General features: G+C 40.9%; 1 protein-coding gene and 1 long non-coding RNA gene across 6 annotated transcripts in view, besides 8 other annotated features; both read left to right on the forward strand.

Annotated features, from left to right (window-relative positions):
- Positions 1,840–1,899: an enhancer, noted in NCBI's record as "active region_21373". NCBI's record gives its function as "activates an Ori minimal core promoter by ATAC-STARR-seq in GM12878 lymphoblastoid cells {active_cell/tissue: GM12878}" and the evidence as "EXISTENCE:reporter gene assay evidence [ECO:0000049][PMID:35858748]".
- Positions 2,520–2,659: an enhancer, noted in NCBI's record as "active region_21374". NCBI's record gives its function as "activates an Ori minimal core promoter by ATAC-STARR-seq in GM12878 lymphoblastoid cells {active_cell/tissue: GM12878}" and the evidence as "EXISTENCE:reporter gene assay evidence [ECO:0000049][PMID:35858748]".
- Positions 4,247–5,123: an enhancer, noted in NCBI's record as "H3K27ac-H3K4me1 hESC enhancer chr4:25314050-25314926 (GRCh37/hg19 assembly coordinates)". NCBI's record gives its function as "activates a minimal SCP1, AML or CMV promoter by ChIP-STARR-seq in primed H9 embryonic stem cells {active_cell/tissue: H9 hESC(primed)}" and the evidence as "EXISTENCE:reporter gene assay evidence [ECO:0000049][PMID:30033119]".
- Positions 4,372–4,441: a silencer, noted in NCBI's record as "silent region_15323". NCBI's record gives its function as "represses an Ori minimal core promoter by ATAC-STARR-seq in GM12878 lymphoblastoid cells {active_cell/tissue: GM12878}" and the evidence as "EXISTENCE:reporter gene assay evidence [ECO:0000049][PMID:35858748]".
- Positions 4,449–4,653: a silencer, noted in NCBI's record as "fragment chr4:25314252-25314456 (GRCh37/hg19 assembly coordinates)". NCBI's record gives its function as "represses an EF-1alpha promoter that drives an FKBP-Casp9 reporter gene in an ReSE screen in K562 erythroleukemia cells {active_cell/tissue: K562}" and the evidence as "EXISTENCE:reporter gene assay evidence [ECO:0000049][PMID:32094911]".
- The window catches only part of ZCCHC4 (zinc finger CCHC-type containing 4), a 57,610-nt gene continuing 34,882 nt past the window's right edge, over positions 4,593–27,320 (forward strand). For all 5 annotated transcript variants that reach the window (XR_925324.4, XM_011513835.3, NM_024936.3 and 2 more), the window contains exons 1-5: positions 4,593–4,755; positions 5,865–5,983; positions 7,137–7,219; positions 25,002–25,277; positions 25,727–25,807. Coding sequence is in view for 4 of the 5 variants with exons in the window: in XM_011513835.3 (XP_011512137.1) it covers positions 4,629–4,755; positions 5,865–5,983; positions 7,137–7,219; positions 25,002–25,277; positions 25,727–25,807 (686 nt within the window). In the remaining variant the exon portion in view is untranslated. The remainder of the gene's footprint in view (positions 4,756–5,864; positions 5,984–7,136; positions 7,220–25,001; positions 25,278–25,726; positions 25,808–27,320) is intronic.
- Positions 4,652–4,711: an enhancer, noted in NCBI's record as "active region_21375". NCBI's record gives its function as "activates an Ori minimal core promoter by ATAC-STARR-seq in GM12878 lymphoblastoid cells {active_cell/tissue: GM12878}" and the evidence as "EXISTENCE:reporter gene assay evidence [ECO:0000049][PMID:35858748]".
- LOC124900686 (uncharacterized) lies at positions 11,158–12,316 on the forward strand. The gene is made up of 2 exons (XR_007058089.1): positions 11,158–11,560; positions 12,195–12,316. It is a non-coding gene; the product is annotated as an uncharacterized LOC124900686 (long non-coding RNA).
- Positions 12,679–12,728: an enhancer, noted in NCBI's record as "active region_21376". NCBI's record gives its function as "activates an Ori minimal core promoter by ATAC-STARR-seq in GM12878 lymphoblastoid cells {active_cell/tissue: GM12878}" and the evidence as "EXISTENCE:reporter gene assay evidence [ECO:0000049][PMID:35858748]".
- Positions 23,317–23,386: an enhancer, noted in NCBI's record as "active region_21377". NCBI's record gives its function as "activates an Ori minimal core promoter by ATAC-STARR-seq in GM12878 lymphoblastoid cells {active_cell/tissue: GM12878}" and the evidence as "EXISTENCE:reporter gene assay evidence [ECO:0000049][PMID:35858748]".

Here is a 27,320-nt window from a genome sequence, read left to right on the forward strand (position 1 = left end):
GGAAAGATGGAGGGAGGAAAGCAGGCAGGTCTACAGGGAGTGTGGCAGGGACAAGGAAGGTCAGAGTGAGCTGATCTTGATTGGGAAAGGACTTCAAGGACAGATACATCCATCCAATATTATGGCTGCAGCCATAGGGCATTAATCAGCATTCTTGATTATGAGTGATAGAACCAACCCCATCTCAAACTGGCTTAAAGAGCCACTGAGGAATTTATGACTCGTGTAACTGAAAACTTCAGGCATGGCTGAATCTGGGTGCTCACATGGTGTCCTCACACCTTCCTGTCTCCCGGTTCTGCTTTTTTCTTATTGGGTTCCTTCTAAGGCAGGTGCTCCTCAAGGGGTGGGAAGCATTGCCACTGGCTCCTTGGTTGCCCTGGTGAAGAAGACTTATGCAATCAATTGTGTCATGGACCCCAATTCTTCACCATTTCCTGATCACATTCTTTGCCATGTAACTTTGCAATGCTTGGTCCATGTGACTTACTTGAGCCAAAGCAATGAGATGGAAGTGAGAGTGGTGTAATTCCAAGCCCAGGCCTCGCGGAACTTGTCTGCTTCTACTAGTTCTCTTGTGCGTCTGCCATCCCCAGGCTGTCCTGGTGGTTCCAGGAGAAGGAGAGACACACAGAGCACAGCTGAGTTATCCCGGCCCCAACGCATTTATGCCTAGTGTTCCATTATTGGAATGCTAAGCATGTGGGAGTTATTTATATCCTAATGCTCAAGGTCACCGCCAAGGTCTGATTGCAAAAATTCAAAAAATTGCAACTTCAGGCATAAATGGGTTAAGATGATCCCGGATGAGCCAACCACTAGACGTGTGACTCAGCCCAGGCAACACTGGAGAGCTGAACCCCTCGGACACATGAGGAATCAACATCTTGAATGCCACTGAGATTAAAACATGTAACCATGACACCTTCTTTCTCAGCCATCCCAGCAGAAGCTGCAAGCCACCTGCCCAAATCCAAGCCAGTCCCTGCCATTTTTTATACTTCTCACACTACATGGGCTAAAATCGGGAGGGTTGGCTTCCCAAAGGAAAACTGGGGTCCTGTTACCAGAAGATAGAGAAGATGGTCAGATCTCCACTACAGAACTCTCCTCTGGCTTCAGCCATTTTCTCTGAAGGAGGTTTGGGAATTGAAGGTTTTCAAAAGACACTGATTTGTTCCATTAATGAAGCCAAGGAAGGAGACAAACCAGCCCTCTGAGAAAGCTCACCAGTTTGGCCCAGGCGCGGTGGCTCACGCCTGTAATCCCAGCACTTTGGGAGGCCGAGGCGGGTGGATCACGAGGTCAGGAGTTCGAGACCAGCCTGGCCAGCATGGTAAAAGCCCATCTCCACTAAAAAAAAAAAAAAAAAATTAACTGGGCATGGTGGCATGTGCCTGTAATCCCAGCTACTTGGGAGGCTGAGGCAGGAGAACTGCCTGAACCTGGGAGGTGGCGGTTGCAGTGAGCCAATACTGCTCCACTGCACTCCAGACTAGGCGACAGAGTGAGACTCTGTTTCAAAAAAAATTAAAAAAAAGAAAGAAAGAAAGCTCACCAGTTTGACCAGACAATCGGCTGGGAGAGTAGCTGAGTTCCAGCAATCTTAGCAGCCTGGGACCACGCTCTGTGTGATAAGTGTCTCATGCATCCATGTGAAGAGATCACCAAACAGGCTTTATGTGAACAACAAGGCTGTTTATTTCACCTGGGTGCAGGCGGGCTGAGTCCGAAAAGAGAGTCAGCCAAGGGTGGTGGATTATTATTAGTTCTTATACGTTTTGGGATAGGAGGTGGAGTTAGGAGCACTGTGTTGCGGGCAGGGGGTGGATCTCACAAAGTACCTTCTCAAGGGTGGGGAGAATTACAAAGAACCTTCTTAAGGGTGGGGGAGATTACAAAGTACATTGATCAGTTAGGGTGGGGCAGAAACACATCACAATGGTGGAATGTCATCAGTTAAGGCTATTTTCACTTTTGTGGATCTTCAGTTGCTTCAGGCGATCTGGATGTATACGTGCAGGGCGTAGGGGATATGATGGCTTAGCCTGGGCTCAGAGGCCTGACAATAAGTGTAATCTAGGTCTCTCCTGGTGCTTAGGCCTCAAGGGACCTATTTTCAGTTCTGTCTCTGGCTTCCTTTCAGAACCTTGCTGAATCTCTCAGTATGTTTCTACTCAAGCATTTTCCTGTGCAGACTAAAGACACTATCAGGAAATTAAATGAAACATGTATAACTTATTGGTCATATTCATAATCCCATCAGTAAATATTTAACACAGGCTATTTACCATATATATATCTGAAAATAAGGTGAGTTTTTTTTCTCCCCAAAATTATCCCTCTGCAAACAAAATGGCCTGATGTTTGAAACCTTCAGCAGCTCTCACATTTTGCAGTGCCCTCCCATTTACCTTATTTGGATCAATCTTTGTTGTGTTTTTACTGTTTGGGGAAGCTTATCTGTAAAGGCTGCACATCTGTACTGGTTTTGGCTGCTTAGAGAGGTTGCCTCACAGAATCAGCATTATTTAAAAGAGAAAGAGGAAATACAGACTCAGTAACTCTGGTTTTACGAGTTACAAATTCACTTGCAAATTTTATAAACAAGTCTTTTAAGATCACAAATTTGTACATCTAAAACAAATTTGTAAATAAAAGTGCTAGAGTTCATGTGAGTAGGTAGTTAGGTCTTTTAGTTTTTATTCTGCCTAGGGCACTGTCTCAAGGGGTCCTGAGAATGTGTGCCCAGCTAGTTAGGTCTTGAGATAGTGTCCGAGAGTATCATCATCATAGCTGTAGAAAGTTTCCTATCTCAAAAGACCAGACATGTGCAGATAATATACACTGAAAAAGTGTTCTGGACAACTTGAAAAAGGGGACACTGGTACATCAAAGATACAGATGCTACTGGTGCAGATGGAGAATTTGAGTAAAACCATTACATGAAATGTGAAAGAAAAACAGCCATGTTTTTACAGTAATAAACCATAGCACTCAATGTGTGAAGTTAACTAGGCACATGCCCCAATGGTTCTTTAAATAACATAAGAGACTATTTCGTCTACAACCATAGACATGTGGCTGCGTCTTGATTACTGCACTATAAGACTTGAAATTGAGTAGGCTGATTCCTCCCACTTCATTATTCTTTTTCCAAAATTGTTTTAGCTATTTTAGTTCCCTTGCCTTTCCATATAAATTTCAGAATATTGTCTAAATGTACAAAAAGAATCTGGCTGGGATTTTCATAGCAATTGTGCTACACCTGTATAAGCATTAAACCTGGGGAGAACTGATATCTTTACTATGTTGAGTCTTCTGATTTATGAATGCAGTATGTTTCTGCATTTGTTTATTCTTTGATTTTTTTTTTTTTTTTTTAAGACGGAGTCTCACTCTGTCACCCAGGCTGGAGTGCAGTGGCACAATCTCGGCTCACTGCAAGCTCCGCCTTCCGGGTTCACGCCATTCTCCTGCCTCAGCCTCCCGAGTAGCTGGGACTACAGGTGCCCGCCACCACGCCTGGCTAATTTTTTTGTTTTTGTATTTTTAGTATTTTTAGTAGAGACGGGGTTTCACGGTGTTAGCCAGGATGGTCTCGATCTCCTGACCTTGTGATCCACCTGCCTTGGCCTCCCAAAATTCTGGGATTATAGGCGTGAGCCACCGTGCCCGGCTATTCTTTGATTTTTAAAAAACTTTAAAAATTGCTTATTTATTTTAGAGATGTCGTCTCGCTTTGTTGCCCGGGCTGGTTTCGAACTCCTGGATTCAAGCAATCCTCCCTCCTTGGCCCCCCAAAGTGCTGGGATTACAGGTGTGAGCCACTGCACTCAGCCTTGATTTTTTTTAATCAAGCATTTTGGAGTTTTTAGCATACATAAAGCTCTGTACATATTTCGTTAGATTTACACCTATTTCATTTATTTGAGTGATTGTAAGTGGTATTCTATTTTTTAGTGTTCTTGTGATCATTGCTAGTATTTAGAAATCCAGTTGATGTTTGTGTGTTTATCTCATATCCTGCAACCTTGCTGAACTCAGTTTAAACCGGAGGTGTTTTCCTGATAGATTCTTTCGGATTTTTAAAATGTGGACAATCATGTCATCTGCAAATCAGGACGGTTTTCTTTCTTTCTTATGTATAAATGTCAATGAGTATGCAACTATGATGTGCAACTTTCAGCATTGTCCAAAAGTTACAGAGGATGATGCAGTGACTGTGACTTTGAAAAACAAAGAATGATCCTTAAATCACAGCTGCTGCAGCCATTTCAGCTATTTGGCAGAGGTGGTAATGCTGCCTTTTGGACCTACAATACAACCAAGTCTTTGTTCGAATCATCTCACTTCCTGGCTATATTCTTAAGAAAGGAGGGTGCTTCATGCGCTGAGCTCATGGCACAGGTCCCGCAAGTGACCTGCGAGCCCCACCGCTAGGGGCCGCTTAGGTGCAGCCCCCAGGTGGGCGGGGACTGCGTTTCGGGGCGTGGCCTCCGCCGCGGCAGCCCCCGCCCAAGCTCCTCCTAAGCGCCTGGGGGCGCTGTGGGTCGCTTTGGGTCGCGGGGGCGCTCTTTCTCAGCATTCTTGTTTCGTACTGAGGCTTTCGGGACGGCGGCGGGAAGATGGCGGCCTCCAGGAATGGGTTTGAAGCCGTGGAGGCAGAGGGCAGCGCAGGGTGCCGGGGAAGCTCGGGAATGGAGGTGGTGCTTCCTTTGGATCCTGCCGTCCCCGCCCCGCTGTGCCCTCACGGTGGGTCAGAGTCTGGGCTCAGCCTAACTGCCGGGCGCTGAGGGTGTGAGTTGGCTTGGAAGTGGCTTTTGGGGCTCCTGTATTTTTACCCGCCTCTTTCCCTCACCAGTGTGCTGCCTAGAAAATACTCCTTCCTCGGAACGCGGTGTTTTTCAACTTACTTGAGAAACATTCAGAGCAAGTCTCCACTCTTGTGGTTTTGGCTCCAGGACTATTTCATCTCTTTTGGGGGGAAGGGGCAGAAAAGTAGGCAAAGAGAAGAATGCATGGTATTGAATAGTTCTCGTTGACAAGTACTTGGGGATTTCATTTGTTGATTTGCTCTCCCTTCAAAAATAAAAAATTAGGGAGAAAAACAGTGTAATTCTTGCCTGCGAACTAGACTCAGTTTTTCTCTAACTTACAGAAAGTGGGCGTTTCCAGCTCAAAGCTCAGGTTTTCACTGCAAGGGTAACCGCGCAAGAGATGTCAAAGTCCTCAATTCTCTGAGTCCCTTCCTTGTTTTAGTCTCAGGTTTGTAATATTCACAACGTAGACAGCAACTGTACCGACAATAGCATTTTCTTTCTGAAGAGACCGGTTTTCAAAAATTATTTATAAGTAGTCACTGCCGGAATGTTGTAACAGAGAGAAAAGAAACATTCATTAAACACAGAGAAGCCGGCGTGGTGGCGTGCACCTGTAGTTCCAGCACTTGGGGGGCCGAGGCGGGCTGATCGCTTGAGCCCAGGAGTTTGAGACTAGCCCGGGCAAAAATGATGACACTCCGTCTACAAAAAAAGAAAAACAGCTGGGGACACGCAACTGTAGTCCCAGCTACTCGGGATGCTGAGGCGGGAGAATCGCTTGAGGCTAGGAAGCAGGATCTCAGTGAGCCATGATTGTGCCAGTGCGCTTCAGCCTGGGCGACAGAGGGAGACCCTGTCTCAAGAAAACAAAACAAAAAACCCTAACAAAACAAAAAACAACCAACCAAAGAGATGGATTTAATTATGATAAATTGTGCCTAAAGCTCAAACAAATTTTATTTAAGGGCAGCGAAAACTAAGAACTTGACGTAGATGACCATTACTTGACACTTTTTTTTTTTTTTTCTATTCTGGAACTAGGACCCACTCTTCTGTTTGTAAAGGTGACCCAAGGGAAAGAAGAAACTCGGAGGTTTTATGCCTGTTCAGCCTGTAGAGATAGAAAAGACTGTAATTTTTTTCAGTGGGAAGATGAAAAGGTATATCAACTTTTTGGATATTTATTTTTTATTTTTGGTATGTGTGACAATTTTGTTGAGAACGTGTAAACCAATAAAAATATGCGGTCTGAACATACAAGATAAATCTCTTAAGAGAGATGGAGATACTATGTTTGTTGGTTCAGAAAATGAGTTCATGTTTACTCTGATTACTGATATCTTAAACTACTGTCTCAAAGTCTTATTTCCCCATAAGACTCTCTGAGGTGGTAATATTGGGTGGGGCTGATCTTCTGTGTGTTAGCTTGGGCTTCTGTAACAGAAGTACCATAGGCTGTGTGGCTTAAACGACAGACATCTGTTTCTTACAGTTCTGGAGACTGGGAAGTCCAGGATCAAGATGCTGGCAGATCTAGTGTCTGGTGTAGGTCCTGTCCTCTTCCTGATTTGCAGAGGGTCATCCTTTCTTTATATCCTCATTTCCCAGAGAGAGGAAGCAAGCACTGTCTGTCTTAGAAGGACACTAATCTCATTCCTGAGGGCTCTACCCTCTTGACGTAATTACCTCTCAAAGGCGCCTCATTTAAATACCATCACATTGGGGTTAAGGCTTCAACATACGAATTTTAGGGGGCACAAACATTCAGTCGATAGCACCGTTGGCAGATACAGATTGCTCACTAAAGAGAAATCATGATCATTCCAGAAAGTGTTAAAAAACACTTTTTTTGAACATTTGCATTGAACATCCCTTATACAGCTATTAGATGACCAATGAAGGCACTTAGAGATATAGTCATGAGCTTGGTATCCTCTTGAACTCGGCTCCAGTTGAAGTTTCTGAAAACTTTGACCAGAGAATTTTCAGTTTTGTTAGGTTTATGGTAAAACAGTATTATATACCACTCTTCTGCAGACCCATTAAGGTGAATACTTGGTTTGTGTCCACCTTTTTGCTATTGTGGATGATGCTACAGTGAACATATGTTAATCTCTCAGTGCTTTAATATGCTGGATATTGCTTCAAGCTGCTCTAGAATTTTCCCAGTTTTCGCTGTTTTGTTTTCTCCTGAAATGAATGCCTGTTGAGTTGGTTGAATTTCTGACTTCTTGATGTCAGAATGTGATGCCAGTTCTTCTAGGATGATAGATATTTCACAGTTTATTCAATGGGTTTTGTACTCTCTTTCAGTTGTCAGGAGCTAGACTTGCTGCCCGAGAAGCTCATAACCGAAGATGTCAGCCTCCCCTGTCCCGAACGCAGTGTGTGGAAAGGTACTGATGCAGTGTCATTTTTCTTTATTAGTTTAGCTGTCATTTTTTTTGTTATTGCCTTTTTCTGTGCCTTTAAGTTTACTTTCATTTATTTATTTTTATTGTAGTTACATATATAATATAAAATTTGCCATTTTAATCATTTTCAAGTGTGCAATTCAGTGACATTAAGTACATTCATGTTGTTGTGTAACCATTGCCCCTATTCGCAAAACTTTTTCATCACTCCAAACAGAAACTGCCACCATTATGCTGTAACTCCTCATTCTACCTCCTCCCAAACCCTAGTAACCTCTGATTTATTTTTGTGTGTTTTTTTTTTTTTTTTTGAGACAGGGTCTCACTCTGTGTTGCCCAGGCTGAAGTGCAGTGGTGCTGTCACGACTCACTATAGCCTCAACCTCCTGGGCTCAACCAGTCCTCCACCTCAGCCTCATGAGTAGCTGGGACTTCAGGCACACGCCACCACACCCAGCTAATTTATTATTATTTTTTATAGAGATAAGGTCTTGCTATGTTGCCCAGAACTCCTGGTCTAGAACTACTGGGCTCAAGGGATCCGCCCACCTCAGCCTCCCAAACTGTGAAGGTTACAGGCATGAGCCATTGTGCCCGACTATTTTTGTTGCTATGAATTTGACAATTCTGTGTACCTCATACAAGTGAGACTATACAATATTTGTCCTTTTGGGTCTGGCTTATTTTACTTAGCATAATGTCTTCAAGGTTCATGCATGTGGTAGCATGTATCAGAACTGTATTCCTTTTTACAACTGAATAATATCCGTTGTCTGTCTATACCACAGTTTAAAAATCTGTTCATCTGTTGATGGACACTTGGGCTGTGTCTACTTTTTTGCTGTTGTGAATGATGCTACAGTGAACATTGATATACAAATATTAGTTTGAGACCCTGTCTTCAATTCTTTTGGGTATATACCTAGATGTGGAATTGTCAGTAATTCTGTGTTTAATTTTTTGAGGAACCGCCAAACTGTTTTCCATAGTGGCTGCACCATTTTACATTCCCACTAGGAGTGTATATGCATTCCAATTTCTCCGCATCCTTGCCAACACCTATTATTTCTTGTTTTTCTGATTACAACCATCCTAGTAATTGTGAAGTGGTATGTCATTGCAGCTTTGATTTTTGTTTTTTATCAAATTACTAATGATGTGAATCATCATTTCATGTGCTTACTGGCTATTTATGTATGATCTTTGGAAAAATGTCTGAGTCCTTTATCTATTTTTAATTGGGTTATCTTTTTGTTGTTGAGTCACAGGAGTTCTTTATATGTTCTGGATATTACAACTTTGCCAAATATATGATTTGCAAATATTTTCTCCTATTCTGTAGGTTGTCTTTTGACTTTCTTGATGTCCTTTGAAACACAAGAGTTTTAATTTTGATGAAGTTCAATTTATCAATTTTTTTTGTTGTTGCTTGTGCTTTCGGTGTATAGATCAGAACCCATTATCAAATCCATTGTTATGAAGATTTGCTGTGATGTTTCTTTTTTGAAATACTAAACCAAACTTTAAAAATCTCTAAACATCTATTTTTAAAAATCTGCATTGTTGAAATGTTTTATTGGGTGGATTAGAGTTGAGTCATAGATGTAATTTTTTGACAAACTTGTGAAAAGAATTTATCTCTTACCTGTGTCACTGACATTGTACAGTATGTGCTGGGAGAAGCTCCTTAAAAAGCCTCTTGTCTAGGTTACTGATGACAAATAGGTTTTTACTTTTATGGCAGCTCCTTCATTTTACCTGGGCTGCTGTGTTCAGAAAGATTGTGAGGCCTCATTTAGACTAAGCACAGAGGAGTACTGGGGTGTATTTATAATATTTTTCCTGAGCTGTTTAGTAGTAGATTTTAAAGTCATTTGATACAGGAGGCATTTCTCAGGATAATTTGATTGTCCCTTAACTACAGTGGTTAGTCAGAGATGTCTATGTATTCACTGTGTGGGAATTCAGTCATCACCCAAAACATCTTGAAAAGGGAATTAAAGAAAATTGAGGCCAGGCATGGTGGCTCATACCTGTAATTCCAGCACTTTGGGAGGCCGAGGTGGGTGGATCACTTGAGGTCAGGAGTTCGAGACCAGCCTGGCCAACATGGTGAAATCCCATCTCCACTAAAATTACAAAAATTAGCCAGGCGTAGTGGCAGCGCCTATAATCCCAGTTACTTGGGAGGCTGACACAGGAGAATCGCTTGAACCTGGGAGGCAGAGGTGAGCCAAGATCGTGCGACTACACTCCAGCCCAGGTGACAGAGTGAGACGCTGTCACAAAAAAAAAAAAAAAAAAAAAAGAAAGAAAAGAAAATGGAGCACTACTGTGAGGTAGGCACTGTGCTAGGTGTTTTACATGAGATATTATTTAGTCCTGCAGAGGTGGTTTACTTCAATGAGAAAACTGAAGCTTATAGGAGTTATACTTTATCATGTTCACATTATGAGAAGTACTAAGCTGTGACTCATCTTATGCCTGATTCTAAAAGATTGTTTTTAAATGTAAAAGCAGATAGTAATATATGATGCATAGTGATTTAATTTGAGGATACATGAGGAGAGAAAAGGTAAGGACTTATGTAGAGATTTATCATAGTGATTATTGAGAGAAAATAGAGTATTGAAGACGGAGAAAGTAGAACCACACGGTCCGTGGTTTCTTCCTTTGAACTCATCACCTTGGTCATTTTGTATTATTTCCTTCTGGCTTTTTTTCCAATGCCAGGTTTGTTTGTAGCCATAATGTATACATAGTTTTGTATTCTGTCCTTAACACTTTTATCTGATAAGCATGTTTCTGTTAGAAGGATATTGGTGATTTAATTAAACTCTGTAAGAAAATCTAGGTGATCTTATTTTTATGCATAGTAAAATTTTAGTTTGGAGCTAAACCACTGTTCTTTTTTTTTTTTCACTCTCTCTCTTTTTTTTTTTTTTTTTTTTTTTTGAGCTACAGTTTCACTCTTGTCGCCCAGGCTAGAGGGCAGTGGCGCGATCTCATCTCACTGCCACCTCCACGTCCTGGTTTCAAGTGATTCTCCTATCAAGCCTCTCAGTAGCTGGGATTACAGGCACCTGCCACCATGCCCAGCTAATTTTTGTGTTTTTAGTAGAGACGGGGTTTCACCATGTTGGCCAGGCTGGTGTCAAACTCCTGACCTCCGGTGGTCTGCCCATCTTGACCTCCCAAAGTGCTGGGATTACAGGCGTGAGCCACCATGCCAGGCCTAAACCACTGTTCTTATCTTTGTAGTGCCAGAGTATATTTTTTTGATAAAAATTTTTTTGAAATTCATATTTTATATTAATTAGAACACAAAAGCTGGGTAAAATATGAATTATTAAAGAATTTCCAAAAGGTTATTTTTTTTGGGGGGCCATAATTTCATCTTTTATCTAGTGCTAATTCTTGCCAGTATGTCTCAATAAAATGCTTTTCAATATCTTAAACCATCTGTGACCCATTACCTTGGATTGTGTGGCCAGAAGTCTCCATCCAACCATCTGTCCACCTAGTCATTCATTCACTCATTCATTCATTCAGTAGGTATTTATTGAAGGCTCAAAAAGCATTTAAAATGCTAGTAATGGGGTTGAGATATAGAAATAAAGATAATTTAGTATAAAGTAAGGTGTGTTAAGTAACTACAGTATTCATAGAAAAGGCTAAGTGCTGGCCGGGTGCGGTGGCTCACGCCTGTAATCCCAGCACTTTGGGAGGCCTAGGCGGGTGGATCACGAGGTCAGGAGATCGAGACCATCCTGGCTAACATGGTGAAACCCCGTCTCTACTAAAAATACAAATAAAATTAGCTGGGCGTGGTGGCGGGCGCCTGTAGTCCCAGCTTCTCGGGAGGCTGAGGCAGGAGAATGGCGTGAACCTGGGAGGCAGAGCTTGTAGCGAGCCGAGATTGCGCCACTGCACTCCAGCCTGGGCGAGAGAGCGAGACTCCGTCTCAAAGAAAAAAAAAAAAGAAAGAAAAGGCTAAGTGCTTTGGAAGTCAGAAGCGTTAGGGCGTAACTTGTGGCTTAGGTGATCAATACAGGGTAAGGAGAGGACATCTGAACAGGTTTTGGAAGATGGGTAGAAATTTAATATCATTGATTTCACTGTATCACTTTGTAATCAATGTTCCTATGCTTTATTATATGCTTTCTCTGGAGCAAACGGTTTGAAATCAGTCATTCTGAAAATATTCAGTGTCTTAAGATAAAGAGTCCTATTATAATTTTGGCTTTTTAAAATCAAAGGCATAATAAATAACCTATTCTCTTTGTCTGTCTTCAGCTTGAGACTAGCAGTTCATTCTCATGTGTAAGTAGACCTAAGGATGATGTACTATTGCTTGAGAGTGTAATTATTTTCTAATGTGGATAATTTAATTTTGTATAACGCATTTATAAGTTAGCTTATTAAACAACTATTATATTTGAAAATATTAAACTGCATTTAAACTTTATACTGATTCTTAAAATTATACATATTCTATAAAGCAAATTTTTCATGTTTTTGTGCAGTTACAATAGCTTTTCATTGACTAATTTATTTTTAAAATCATTTGTAAGGACTTATGGTAGCTAGCAAGATAAATTGACCTGTTAGCTGATTTTTATTATAGGATTGGTAGCGCTGCACAGATTTCTAGGTTTACAGAGTAGGATTTGATTTTCATTTTTCTAATCTCACTCTTTGAAGCATGCTTTATGTTTCATATGTGTTCAGTTGACATATTTACATTTTGTGCCTGAGATTTGCTTTTTTTTTTATAGTTTTTAGCTGCCTGTTACGCTCTGAAATGTGTTATTATGTTTGTTATATAGTATGTTTGCACCCTTATTGTGACCTATGAAGACTTAGGGAAGATATTTAAATGCTAAAATCAGCATTAATTTATGTGCATCCAAATAGTTTTGTTTCGTTGATATTTCATTTGGTTATTTTTTTTCAGATCTCATTTAAACTGAGATTTTCAAGGTCTGCTCTTAGAGAAATGCCATAAACATAATTTGTGTACTCCAGGAAAGGCAAATGGAACATCAAATGGAGATCAATAAAAATGACATTTCAAAATGCTAGCCTGCAATTTGTGAATCATGCTGAGCCATGCAGCAGAATGAATTTCTCTCCCCCTGGGGAATGTGTTGTAAATACGAATAAGGGGGGAAAGCTGAGTAATCTTGAGTGCTTCATATTCTCATGTTCTCTCTACCAACCTTTTAGAAGGCCATGTGTCTGAATGTTAAATTTAAGGCATAATAGTTGCTGATTATGTTGTGATTTTGAATAGAGAGAAATATGCACAAGATCTCAGTTTATCTTTTATCAAGAAAAGGTTAATAAACTAGCAGTGAAGCTTTCTGAAGGGCAGTTTGGAAATATTTAAAGGAAAGAGTTAATTGACAAGGCACAAAGATGTATCATGTAAGTGGAGGTTCATTTTGCAGTGTTCTTTTCCTTCTTTTAAAAATGATTAAACTCAGCTCCTTATGGTGAGTGAATCATCACCACATCAGCCCCTCATTGCTTTGAACTTTCTTTCTTCCCTTCCTAGTGATTTTGCAACTTCTGCCTTCAGCTAGTGTTACTCAGTGGGTGATAGGTAGTCCTTTTGACCATATTTGAGTAACAAAACCCGATACAACTTCCTCTACTTGTGGGATTTTCCTTTCTTAGGTCCTCTAAAGGCCTTAATTATTGTTGTTATTCTTTCAACCAGGTATATTTTTTCTTTCTTTTCTCTGTCTGTCTCTTTCTTTCTTTCTCTCTCTTTCACTCTTGCTGCCGCTCTTTCTTCCTTTCCTTTTCTTTCTTTCTCTTCTTTCCTTTCTTTTCTTTCTTTTTTTGGAGGCAGAGTTTCATCTGTTGCCCAGGCAGGAGTGCAGTGGTGCATTCATAGCTCATTGTAGCCTCCAACTTTTGGGATTAAGGGGTCTTCCTGGCTAATTTTGTTTGTTTGTTTGTTTGAGATGGAGTCTTCCTCTGTTGCCAAGGCTGGAGTGCAGTGGCGTGATCTTGGCTCACTTCAACCTCCACTTCTGGGGTTCAAGCGACTCTCCTGCCTCAGCCTCCCAAGTAGCTGGGATTACAGGCTCCCGCCACCACGCCCAGCTAATTTTTGTATTTTTAGTAGAGACAGGGTTTCACCATGTTGGCCAGGCTGGTCTTGAACTCCTGACCTCAAGTGATCTACCCGCCTCAGCCTCCCAAAGTGCTGGGATTACAGGTGTGTGCCACGGCGCCTGGCTGGCTAGTGTTTTAAAATATTTTTAGAGATGGGGGTTCTCAATATATTGCCCAAGCTGATCTGGAACTCCTGGAATCAAGTGATCCTCCTGCCTCAGCCTCCCGGGTAGCTGGGATTACAGGTGTGAGCCACAGTACCTGGCCAAGGGATATTTACTTCTCTGATATCAAATGCATGTCCTGTTGCTCTGTTCTGGTGGCTGACTGAAAGTACATGATATGTTTCAGTAATGAATCATAGGGTGATGGCAATTAACTCTCCACCTGTAGTTCCAGCCATGCACAACACTTGCCTGAAGACATGACAGCTTCAAGAGCAAGGACCAAGTTTTCACGAGGTCTGAACTACATCTTGGCCTCTGTTTGGCTGACGGCAATTATAAATCATATCTCCATATTGCAGATGCTAAAATGTGAAAAAATATACACCTTAGAAATGATGAAATAGAGTGGTTGGATTTTGCTTTGTGATGCAGGCTGACAGGCTCTCTTTTTATTTATTTGTTTGTTTGTTTTTGAGGTAGGGTCTTGCTCTCTCACCCAGGTTGGAATTCAGTGGCATGATCATGGCTCACTGTACAAAGATGTACAACTATTACAATCTATTTCCAGAACATTTTCATCACCTCAAAAGGAAACCTCATGCCTGTCAGCAGTTACTCCCATTTCCCCACTCCCCACCCCAGCTTCTAGCAACCACTATTCTACTTTCTGTCTCTATGGATTTGCCTATTCTAGATGTTTCATATAAACAGAATCATACAATAGCCACATATCATTTTTGATTTAACCTTTTTTTAATTAATAAAAGACTTCTGTTTAAAAACCACTGAATTGTACACTTTATTTTTTTTATTTTTTTGAGACAGAGCCCCACTGTGTCACCCAGGGTGGAGTGCAGTGGCATCGTGATCTTGGCTCACCATAACCTTTGCCTCCCAGGTTCAAGAGATTCTCGTGTCTCAGCCTCCCAAGTAGCTGGAATTACAGGTGCACGCCACCATGCCTGGCTAATTTTTGTATTTTTAGTAGAGATGGGGTTTTGCCATATTGGTCAGGCTGGTCTTGAACTCCTGGCTTCAAGCGATCCACCCACCTTGGCCTCCCGAAGTGCTGGGATTACAGGCATGAACCGCTGCACCTGGCCTGAATTGTCCACTTTGAAAGGGTGAATTTTATGGTACCTGAATTGTATCTCAGTTTAAAAAATCTATATATGGTAGTAGAATCAAGTTGTTCTATGACAGTGCATTTGCAAAGAATAATCAACACTCCTGTTTCCACCTCTGCATTTCTCCTTCCCCAGTAGCAACTCTAGTCACCTCTTAAGGCTAATTCTTTGCATCACATCAAAAGGCAGATAATGTTTGGTTGTTCCTTTTTGTGATATTAAGATTAATCACGTGTTCAGGTATTAGCCGGCAATAAACCATCCATTACAAAGCTCCCCATCAGCCCTTTGTCTAATGATTTTAGCTGTAACTGATGATCATTGCCCAGAGGTTGTAAAAGGTTTTAGAATCTTGTCATTGTTTATGCATTCATTAGCTGTAATTCTTCTGTAAAAAAGAACTTTGTTTCACCAACTGTTAGCTTACTTTGTTACAGTTCATGTGGGAAAGAAAAGATAAATGTTTCATCCTTCCCCTCCTGTCCTTTTTAACTAGTTTTTAGAAAAATGATTTGGTACTGCAGCAACTTCCAAAGTTGATTAATCAGGATCATTGTTCTGTTGTGTTTTTTTTTCATATCACTATGAAAATATGTATTTTTAAAATTTGGTGTTTTGTAGTTCTTTGAGATTATTACTCTTTATGATATAGCACTTTTGGAATTTGATTTAATTTTCACAATATGATGGGGGTTGTATGTAGGGTGACTGTAGAATTTAAATCCAGACCCAGATACTTCTTGAGACTGTAGGGGGAAGGAGGCAATAACCAGACAGAACTCCAGGATGGAAGATGTCAACTGGGACTGTCCTGGGCAACCAGGGATGTGTGGTCACCTTAGTGATATGGGGATCATTAGTGGAAAATTCACTTTTCCCCCATCATTTTTACCTTTACTGAGGTATGATACTTTACATATCATAAATTGCACATATTTAAAATGTACCATTTGATGAATTTTGACATATACATCTGCCCGTGAAATCATCACCACAGTCAAGTTAATGAACATACTATTACCTCCAGAAGTTTCTGCCTGCCCCAATATTCTATATCCCTGCACCCCTAGGGTCCCCAGACATCCACTGATCTGCTTTCTGTCACTATAGATTAGTCGGCATTTTCTAGAAGTTTATATAAAGGTAATCGTACAGTATGTACTGTTTTTTGTGTTTTTTTTTTTTTTTTGAGACAGAGTCTCGCTCTGCTGCCAGGCTGGAGTGCAATGGTGCAATCTCAGTTCACTGCAATCTCCACCTCCCAGGTTCAAGCGATTCTCCTGCCTCAGCCTCCCAAGTAGCTGGGACTACAGGTGCACACCATGCCTGGCTAATTTTTTTTTTTTTTGTATTTTAGTGGAGATGAGGTTTCACCATGTTGGCCAGGATGGTCTCTATCTCCTGACCTCATGATCTGCCTGCCTTGGCCTCCCAAAGTGCTGGGATTACAGGCATGAGCCACTGTGCCTGGCCAGTATGTACTGTTTTTTAAGGGCAGGTGCATTCATTTATTTAGCATAAATATTTTTGATATTTATCCATGTTGATGTGTTTGTCAACAGTTCATTCCTTTATTCACGAATAATGTTCCACTGTATGGATATTTCCATTCATCTGTTTGTAGTCATATAAGTTTCCTCCAGTTACTGTGTTGTAGAAAAAAGCTGCTATGAACATTTATGTATATGTCCTTGTATGGACTCATGGTTTTATTTCTCTTGGGTAAATACTAGGAATAGAGTAGCTGGATCATATGGTGGATATACGTTTAATTTTTCCAAAACTGCCAAACTTTTCCAAAGTGGCTGCACCGTTTTACATTCCTATCAGCAACGTACGAGGAATCAGATTTTTTTCCTGTCTCCTACAACACTTGTTATTATCTGTCCTTTTAATTATAGCCATTGTGAAGTGACATTGTATTGTGATTTTAATTTGTGTTTATGACATGGAACATCTTTTTATGTGCTTATTGACTGTTTTTGTATTATCTTTGGAGAAATGTCTATTCAGTTCCTTTGCTATTTTTGAATTGGGCTAATTGTCTTTTTATTGTTGAGTTATTCCTTATACATTGTGGATACAATTCCTTTACCTGGCATATAATTTGAAATATTTTCGGCCGGGCGCGGTGGCTCACGCCTGTAATCCCAGCACTTTGGGAGGCCAAGGCGGGTGGATCACGAGGTCAGGAGATCGAGACCATCCTGGCTAACACAGTGAAACCCCGTCTCTACTAAAAATACAAAAAATTAGCCGGGCGAGGTAGTGGGCGCCTGTAGTCCCAGCTACTCGGGAGGCTGAGGCAGGAGAATGGCGTGAATCCCGGGAGGCGGAGCCTGCAGTGAGCCGAGATCTCGCCACTGCACTCCAGCCTGGGCGACAGGGAGACTCCGTCTCAAAAAAAAAAAAAAAAAAAAAAGAAATATTTTCTGCCATTCTTGGGTCGTCTTTTCACTCTCTCTTTTTTTTTTTTTTGGCAGTGGTGCCATCTCGGCTCACTGCAACCTCTGTCTCCTGAGTTCAAGTGATTCTCGTGCCTCAGCCTCCTGAGTGGCTGGGATTACAGGCGTGTGCCACCACACCCGGCTAATTTTTTTTTAGTAGAGATGGTGTTTCACCATGTTGGCCAGGCTGATCTCGAACTCCTGACTTCAAGGGCTCTGCCTGCCTCAGCCTCCCAAAGTACTGGGATTATAGGCGTGAGCCACTGTGCTGTCTTTTCACTTTCTTAATGGTATCCTTTGCTGTGCAAAAGTTTAAAATTTTTTATTAAGTTCAATTTATTTTTTGTCACTTAAGAGTATCTTTTGAAGAAAAAAATGTTAAGTCATGACGAAGTTCATTTTATTGATTCTTACACTTTGTGCTTAGTCTTATTTAAGAAATCTTTGCCAAACCCAGTCATTATTATTTTCTAATATGTTTTCTTTAAAGTTTTCTAGTTTTAGTTCCTAGAGTTAGGTCTATGATCTATTCGGGGTTAGTTTTTTTATATGAAGTGAGGTAAGAGTCAAGGTTCATTGCTTTGCATATGGCTTTCAGACTTTTCCAGCACCTTATCTGCTGTGGGATTAGAGAGAAAAAAAAATACTTTTCCAGCACCATTTGTTGATAATATTATCCTTTCCTTGTTGAATTGATTTGGCACCTGCATTAGTTTTCCTGTTGCTGCTGGAGCAACTTACCACAAGCTTAGTGGTATACAACGACATAGATTTATTCTTCCAGTAATGGAGGCCCAACATCCAAAATCAACTAAAGCAGGTTAAAGTTAAGCTGTTGGTGGGGCTAGTTCCTTCTGAAGACTCTGAGAAGAGAATTTGTTTCTTGCTTTTTCCAGCGTCTGGGACCACCTGCATCTTTGGCTGTGGCCCGTGCTCCGTTTTTATAGCACATCACTCCAGTCTCTGCTTCTGTCACCACATAATCTTCTCCCTCACTCCACTGCCTCTGGCTTATAAGAACCCTTGTAATTATGTTGAGTCTACCCAGATGACCCAGGATAACCTCCTCATCTTAAGATCCGTCACTTCATGACATCTGTAAATTCTCTTTGGTCCTATATGTGTATTCACAGGTTCCATATTCTCTTTGGTAGGATGTGGGGAGTGAGGGGGCATCATTCAGCCTACTGCAGCACCTTTCTCAAAAGTCAGTTAACTTTATATGTGTTTTTTTTTCTGGACTATTTTTTTCCCTTGACCTATAGGTATATCTTTACATAAATACCACATTGTCTTGATTACTGTGACTTTATAATGTCTTCTTGAAATTGGGTAGTGTAAGTCTTCTTTGTCCATTATTTTCAAAGTTGTTTCCGCTATTATAGGTCCTTTTTATTTTCATATGAATTTTTTGAATGAGGTTTTCAGTTTCTACAAAAAATCCTGCTGGGATTTTGATTGAGAGTGTGTTGATTTTATAGATACATTTGGGGAGAATTGACATCTTAATAGTATTGAGTTTTCTAGTCTGTGACTGTGGTGTATCTCTTCAGTTACTAAGTCATCTTTAATTTTTCTTGGTGATGTTTTGTAATTTTCAGTGCACTGCAGTTACACATCTTTTGTCAGATTTATCACGAAGTATTTCATGTATTTTAATGTGGTTTTAAATTGTATTGTTTTAAAATTTCAGTTTCTAATTGTCTATTGCTAGACTCTAACAATACAGTTGATTTTATATATTGATCTTTTATTTTGAAATCTTGATAAGCTTACTTACTAGTTCTAGCAGGCTTTTTGAAGATTTCCTTAGGATTTTGTACATGTGTGATCATGTTGTCTGTGAATAAAGAAGTTTTAATGTTTACTTTCCAATTTATGTCTTTTGTTTTTTTATCTTGTCTTATCAAACTGGCTAGAAACCCTTAGTCAATGTCGAGTAGAAGGCTGAGAGCAGACATCTTTGCTTTGTCCCAGTCTTGGGGAAATGCATTCAGTCTTTCAGCTGTATGGTGTTAGCAATAGGTTTTTCTTTGATGCCCTTTATCAGATTGTAGAAGTGCCCTTCTATTTCTGGTTTTTTGAGAATCTCCCTCCCTCCCTCCCTCCCTCCTTCCCTCCTTCCCTCCTTCCCTCCTTCCCTCCTTCCTTCCGTTCCTTCCTTACTTGCTTCGTCCCCCACCACCCTTCCTTCCTTTCTTTTCTTTCTTTTTCTCTGTCTTGCTCTGTCACCCAGATTGGAGGGCAGTGGGACGATCATGGCTCACTGTAGACTCTACCTCCTTGGTTCAAGTGATCCTCCCACCTCAGCCTCCCCAGTAGCTGGGACTATAGGTGTGTACTACCACACCCAGCTAATTTTTTTACTTTTTGAAGAGATGAGGATCTTACTGTGTTGCCCAGGCAGGTCTCAAACTCCTGGGCTCAAGCCGTCCTCCTGCCTCAGGCTTCCTAGAGTGCTGGGATTAGAGGCATGAGCCACCATACCCAGCCTGAGAATCTTTATCATCAGTGGATGTTTGATTTTGTCAAGTGCGTTTTTGGGGGGCACCTAATGAAATTATCTTTTTTTCAAAAAAGCCTGTTAATATGAATTACATTGATTGAATTCAAACTTTTAAACAACCTTGCTTTGCTAGGATAAACTATATTTCGTCATGATGTAATAGCTTTTTATATATTGCTGGTTTTGATTTGCTTAAATTTTGTTAATAATTTTTGAGTTTGTGTTCATAAGGCATGTTTGTCTGTAGTTGCCTTGTAATTTTTTTTCCTGGTTTTGGTATTGGGATAATGGTGGCCTCATGAAATGAATTGGTAAGTGTTCTCTCTTCAGTTTTTTGAAAGAATTTGTGTAGAATTGGTATTGACCCAATGTCATCTTGCTTATATTGTTTTCAGTGAGAAGCCTGATGTCATTTTTATCTTTATCTCTGTTCGTCTGTACAGAATCTATCTTTTTTTTTTCCAAGACGGAGTCTCACTCTGTCTCCCAGGCTGGAGTGCAGTGGCACGATCTCTGCTCACTGCCACCTCTGTCTCCCAAGTTCAAGCAACTCTCCTACCTTGGCCTCATGAGTAGCTGGGATCACAGGCACCCACCACCATGCCCAGCTAATTTTTGTATTTTTCGTAGAGATGGGGTTTTGCCATATTGGCCAGGCTGGTCTCGAACTCCTGACCTCAAGTGATCTGCCCACCTCAGCCTCCCAAAGTGTTGGGATTACAGGCTTGAGCCACCTTGCCCAGTCCACAATCTATCTTTTTTCCTCTGGTTTCTCTTTATCATTGCTTGTTTTTTTGTTTGTTTAGAGAAAGGATCTTGCTCTGTCACCCAGGCTGGAGTGCAGTGGTGCAATCATGGCTCACTGCAGCCTTGACCTCCCAGGCTCGAGCAGTCCCCCCACCTCAGCCTCCTGAGCAGCTGCAACTACAGGCACTTGCCACCACACCTGGGTAATTTTTGTATTTTTTTGTAGAGACAGGGTCTTGCCATGTTTCCCATGCTGGTCTCGAACTCCTGGGCTCAAGCGATCCTCTCACCTTGGCCTCCCAAAGTGTTAGGATTACAGGTGTGACCCACTGCATCTGGACTATCATTGATTTTAAATCATTCTGGCCAGGTGCAGTGGCTCTTGCCTATAATCCCAAGACTTTTGGAGGCCAAAGCAAGTGGGTCACTTGAGCCCAGGAGTTTAGATCAGCCTGGACAGCATGGCAAAACCCTGTCTCTACAAAAAATACAAAAATTAGCCAGGTGTGGTGGCAAGCACCTGTAGTTGTAGCTGCTGAGGAGGCTGAGGTGGGAGGACTGCTTGAGTCTGGGAGGTCAAGGCTGCAGTGAGCTGTGATCACACCAGTGTACTGCAGCCTGGGTGACAGAATGAGACTCTGTCTCAAAAAAATGAAAATAAATAAATAATTTTATTATGATGTGTCTTGTAGTTTTCCTTCATGTTTCTTGTACTGTGGTTCTCTGAGCTTCCTGGATCTTTTGATGTAATTTTGAAAATTATCATTTATTATACTTTCAAAATCCACCCTCCCCTTTATTTTGAGGGCTTCATTTCCACATATTTAGGCCCCTCAGTTTTTCATTTTGTATCATTCTGAGACCGTACCTTCAAGTTCACAAAGCTTTTCGCTTTAGCCCCTGAACTACTGTTATTCCCATGTAAGGTGTTTTGTTTTTTTTTTTTAATAATTTTAACAAACCTTTGTAGATTTCGTCTTTTTATATTTTCCTTTTTTTTTTTTTTTGTTTTGAGACAGAGTCTCGCTCTGTCACCAGGCTGGAGTGCAGTGGCGTGATCTCGGCTCACTGCAACCTCTGCCTCATGGGTTCAAGTGATTCTCCTGCCTCAGCCTCCCGAGTAGCTGGGACTATAGGCGCATGCCACCATGCCCAGCTAATTTTTGTATTTTTAGTAGAGACAGGGTTTCATCATGTTGGCCAGGATGGTCTCGATCTCTTGACCTCATGATCTGCCTGCCTCGGCCTCCCATAAGTGCTGGGATTACAGGCGTGAGCCACCGCACCTGGCCGGATGTTTTTATATTTTCTATGTCTTTGCTTAACAGGCTCATGCTTTCCTGCACCTCTTGAACACATGGAATACAGTTACAATGAGTGGCTTTAATGTCTCTACCAATATCATCCTATGTCATTTCTGGGTTTGTTTAGACCTTTTGATTTTGATTTTTTAATTTTTTACTTTTTTGAGACAAATTTTCACTCTGTCACTGAGGCTGGAGTGCAGTGGTGTGATCTCAGCTTACAGTAGCCTCCGTCCCTGTGTTCAAGTGATTCTCCTGCCTTGGCCTCCCAAGTAGCTGGAATTACAGGTGTGCTCCACCACGCCTGGCTAATTTTTGTATTTTTAGTAGAGACAGGGTTTCACCATGTTGGCCAGGCTGGTCTCAAACTCCTGACCTCAGGTGATCCACTGACCTCAGCCTCACAAAGCTCTGGGATTACAGATGTGAGCTACCATGCCTTGCTGATTTTTTTTTTCTTCTAATCATGAGTCATGTTGTTCTGTTTCTTTGCATACCTGGTAATATTTTATTGGATACTAGTAGTATGGGATTTACCTTGTTATATACTGGATATTTTTAATTCCTTTGTGTATTTTTGATTTTGTTCTGGGACAGTTACTTGTTGTAGTGTGATGTTCTTGAGCAGGATTTAGCAAACTACTACCTGTAGCCAACTCTGGCCATGCCTATTCACTTGGCTGTGTTTGCTTTTGTGGTATCACTACAGAATAGTTGTGACTGAGAGACTTTGTGGCCTGCCAAGCTCCAAATATTTATTATCTGATCCTTTACAGAAAGTTTGCTGACCCTGCTTTTGAAGACTTGTCTTTAAGCTTTTTAGGCAGGACTGAGCAACCTTTCGTGGTTCTAGGGCTAATTTTTCCTCCCTACTGAGGCAGTGCTCTTCTGAGTACTTGAGTACTTGTGTATTGTGAGGCATTTCCACTCTGGCTTGTTGGGAGACAAACCATTCTGGACCTGTGTGTATTTTCCAGTGATAATTCCACCTGCTTCTGGCCAGTGGTTCTTTCCCTTGCCTTGGGGAGTTTCTGCATGTGCACATGCTGCTCAGTACTCAGCCGAAGACTCGAGGGGAATTGTCAGCTAGTCTGGAGCGTTTTTTCTCTCTCTCTCAGTGTACAGCTTTCTGCTCTCCTGTCCTCCCTGGTTATTCGCCAGTACTCTTTCTGTGAATTCTGGCCGCCTAGCCTCCTGGAGTGCTCAGCTCTGTCTCATCAATTCCTTGGGCTGTGTTTCGGTTCTCCATCCCTGTGCTGCCAGCTCTCCACAGGCAGGAAGCTGGGCAGCTGTACCACTCACCTCTGTTCCCTTCCCTCGGGGTTCACTGTTTTGGGCTGCTAGTTGTCCGATATCTTCAAACTGCTTTTTCATATATTTTGTCTTTTTAAAACTTCTTTTGAAGGCCCATGGTAAATCTGGTCTCTGTTACTCCATCATAGCTGTCTGCGGAAGCTGTCAACATTTTTTTCTTTTAGAGACAGAGCCTCACTCTGTTGCCTAGGCTGGAGTGTGGTGGCATAATCATAGCTCACTGCAGCCTTGAACTCCTGGGCTCAAGTGATCCTCCTGCCTCTGCCTCCTAAGTAGCTGGGACTACAGGCACATACCACCACACCTGGCTAATTTTTAAAATTTTTTGTAGAGATGGAGTCTCAACTATGTTGCCCAGGCTGGTCTTGAGCTCCTGGCCTCAAGTGATCCTCCTGTCGTGGGCTCCCAAAGTGCTGGGATTTCAGGCGTGAGCCACTGTTCCTGGCCTGTTCAACACTGTTAGTACTTAGTGATGAGAGGTAATAGTAAATTCAGTGTTTCTGTTGCCGAAGAGTGTTTATTGGTTCTTTCACTTTCATTTCATAGGGCCCTTTCTTCTACTGGCATTCTCACTTTGAATTACTAAGAAGTTTCTTCTAATATCCCTCTATCTCCTTTTTCTTTCTAGTTTTAGATAAAGCTGTCAAAAGAACAGTTATCATAGAAATAGAAACATTTAAATTACCGGCACGATAGCTTATTTCTTGCTGCAACCATTCAGAATATCTATTTGTCACTGCCTTGGGTGCTTTGAAGTGAAACTGTGCTTAGATATAAAAAGTTTAAAACTCACTTTGATTACATGTTAAGCTCACAGTTTTTACACTGCAGTTCCTGAATTTAGTTCCATCAAAACTGTATGACTAGGCCACATGTGATGGCTCATGCCTGTAATCCCAGCACTTTGGGAGGCCAAGGCGGGCGGATCACCTGAGGTCAGGAGTTTGAGACCAGCCTGGCCAACATGGTGAAACCCTGTCTCTACTAAAAATAGAAAAATTAGCTGGATGTGGTGGTGCGTGCATGTAGTCCCAGCTACTTGGGAGGCCCAGGCAGGAGAATCACTTGAACCCGAGAGGTGGAGGCTGCAGTGAGCCAAGATTGCGCCACGGCACTCTAGCCTGGGTGACTCCATCTCAAAAAAAAAAAAAAAAAAAAGATATGACTCTTCCCAAACTATAAGGATTGTTTAGTGCATTATTTATTTTAACTTGCTTAGTTTTAGACATTTCTGACTCTCCATGTTCCTCAATCATATTATTTATTTTTCTTTTGTTTTCTTACTGATATCATAGCTGGCATCACATGTACAAAACCAGCAGTTTTTAAACATACTGACCATGATTATTTTCTCTCTCCAATAATCTCTAATAAAATTAAAAAAGAAAGAAAAAAGAAATGGTGACTTTGAAATTGGATATAAGGGTGACTTGGAAGAAATCAAATGGGATATTCAGTGTAGTCTTTTTTAAGGCTTTGAATATTGTCTTGTTGTTTTGGAGGTGAGCTTATAACTCCATCAGTACTGCTAAGAACAGAGGAGCTTTGAGAAACATCTTTTCTTTTAGGAGGTAATTTTTCTTGCTAAGTATGTCATAAGAACTTGAAGAATGATCTTAATTTCTCATTTTAAAATGACTGTCAAGTGAGCCAGACTGTTTAACAGATAAAAGTTAGACATGTGGATTTGTCAATAAATTTAAACTTGATAGTAGTTGTCATTACTACTAAGTTGTTTGAGTAATATATTATGTTCACATTTTAAATGGATATTGATCTTCATTCAGTGACTAAATTGGAGTGTCTCAATTCTTATGAAATTGCTGATCCTTTTCCTCTTTGTAGGTATGCAGCCAGACATAAATTCTAGCCAACATTCCACAGATTTCTTCCTACTTTTCTTCTTTACGCAGTACTCTTTAGGAAGTAAAAATACTTTTTGGATGCTAAAAATAGCAAAACACATTGTGTTTACAACAATAAACTTAAAATATATTTCTTTGTGTTTTATTTTGTCTTGAAGGTACTTGAAGTTTATTGAGTTGCCCTTGACTCAGAGAAAGTTTTGTCAAACATGTCAGCAGTTGTTGTTACCAGATGACTGGGGGCAACATAGTGAGCATCAGGTTCTGGGTAATGTGTCCATTACCCAGTTAAGAAGGCCCAGTCAACTCCTTTATCCACTGGAAAACAAGAAGACAAATGCCCAGTATCTGTTTGCTGATCGGAGCTGTCAGTTCTTGGTAGACTTACTTTCTGCCCTCGGATTCAGAAGAGTACTGTGTGTTGGAACACCAAGGTATGTCATGTGATTTTTTAAAGAATTATCTTCTCACCACTATTGAAACTGTATGAAGATTTTATTAAGTAGTTACTTACTCTGTGCAAGGTATAGCATGAAGCTTTGAGTATTTAAAATGTAAAGCACAGTCCCTCTCTTAAGGAGTTTGCAACCTGTATTCCATTTGAGAAAAATCTTCATAGATTTCTTTCTGATGCATGAGAGAAGATTCTTTCTGATTTAACTGCTAAATTGTTTATAATTTTAGACCTCTCTGTTTCAGATAAGTTCTGCTCTTAAAAAATATTTGCAAAATTGAAACCTTGATTATACCTGCCAAATTCTCTTCAGTGTTTCATTGAAATATCATAAATACCAGAAGAACATTGATGGTTTTGTTGTTTGTTTGTTTATTGTCTATGACATTTGTAATATCTTATTACATTTGCTTTCACTAATTGCTTTAGGTTGCATGAGCTGATCAAGTTGACAGCATCAGGTGACAAGAAGTCTAACATTAAAAGCCTTTTATTGGATATTGATTTTCGGTAGGTTTACAAAATACAGTATTTCCTTTCATTGTCTCCTGTTTCTTTTTAATGTTTTTCTGTTTTTAATTGTTTATACTCTGTTACAACTCTTTAGTTTACATCTAGAAGTAGTAATTTGTTATGAGGAAACTTTTTAGTCGAATAAATTCAACATGTAATCTGTATTTCAAACAGGGAGGCAGTTGATTTCTCCTTTTGCTGGTGGGCTTCCTAGATTTTCTCTGTGAATGTGGCTAGTTCGTCTTTGGCTTATAATCTACAGATGAATCTCTATTGAGTGAGGTTTCTTCTCATATATTATGTTCAAAGATAATTCTAAACTGCCTCATACTTAATCAGACTTCCAGGATTTTGTTTCATTAGATCTTTGAAGTGTGAGAACTCAGACATTTCTTTTAGTATATTTTACTGGATGTTGTACATATTGTCTTTCACTGAACATAGCCTGGAGTGAAGGGAGTGCTAAGTAGGGGATAGACAGGTCCCAAAGCAGAGGAGTAGCCGACAGATAGACTTTGTGAGAGGGTCAGAATTAAATGGCATCTGATGATTTCTGAGTTGATGACACAGAGGGAGGAACACATCTTGAATCTCCCCTCTGGTGGTAGTTTTGAAGATACCTTTAACTTATAACATGGATGGTAAATACATTGTCCACTGTGTCTATAATTCTGTACATTTGAAGTACTCTTCTCAGTTTCTGTAATTGTTTAATACCAGGAGTTCATGTAGAATTTATAAGATACTATGTTCTTAGTATTTTTAATGTGTTCTTGAAGGTGTTGAAGGAATCAGGCTTTGTGTTTCCTTTTATTTAGATCTGCTTCCTAAAAACAAAGAAGACAGATTTTTTTTTTTTCCTCTTAGACAGGGTCTCGCTCTGTCACCCAGGCTGGAGTGCATTGGCATGGTCATAGCCCACTGTACCCTCAAACTCCTGGGGTCAGGCGATCCTCTAACCTCAGTCCCCCTAGTAGCTAGGACTACAGGTTAGCACTACCACACCCAGGTAATTTTAAAAAAAGAAAGTTTTGTAGATTTGGGGTCTGGAACTCCTGGCCTCAAGCAGTCCTCCTGCCTTGGCCTCCCAAATTGTTGGGATTACAGACATGAGCCACCAAGCACTAAACAGATTTTTAAAGTGTAAAATGTCCGTTTAAAAAGTGTAGTTTGGGTCAGGTGTGGTGGCTTATGCTTATAATCCCGGCACTTTGGGAGGCCAAGGCTGGCAGATCACTTGAGGTCAGGAGTGCAAGACCAGCCTAGCCAACATGGTGAAACCCTGTCCCTACTAAAAATAAAAAAAATTAGCTGGACATGGTGGCTCATGCCTATAATCCCAGCTACTAGGGAGGCTGAGGCAGGAGAATCGCTTGAACCTAGGAGGTGGAGGTTGCAGTGAGCTGAGTTCACGTAACTGCACTCCAGCCTGGGTGACAGAGCGGGACTCAGTCTCAAAAAAGATAATAATCATAAAAGTGTAGCCTGGCCGGGTACAGTGGCCTATGCC

This window comes from Homo sapiens, chromosome 4 (assembly GCF_000001405.40).
Source record: "Homo sapiens chromosome 4, GRCh38.p14 Primary Assembly".
NCBI lineage: Eukaryota > Metazoa > Chordata > Mammalia > Primates > Hominidae > Homo > Homo sapiens.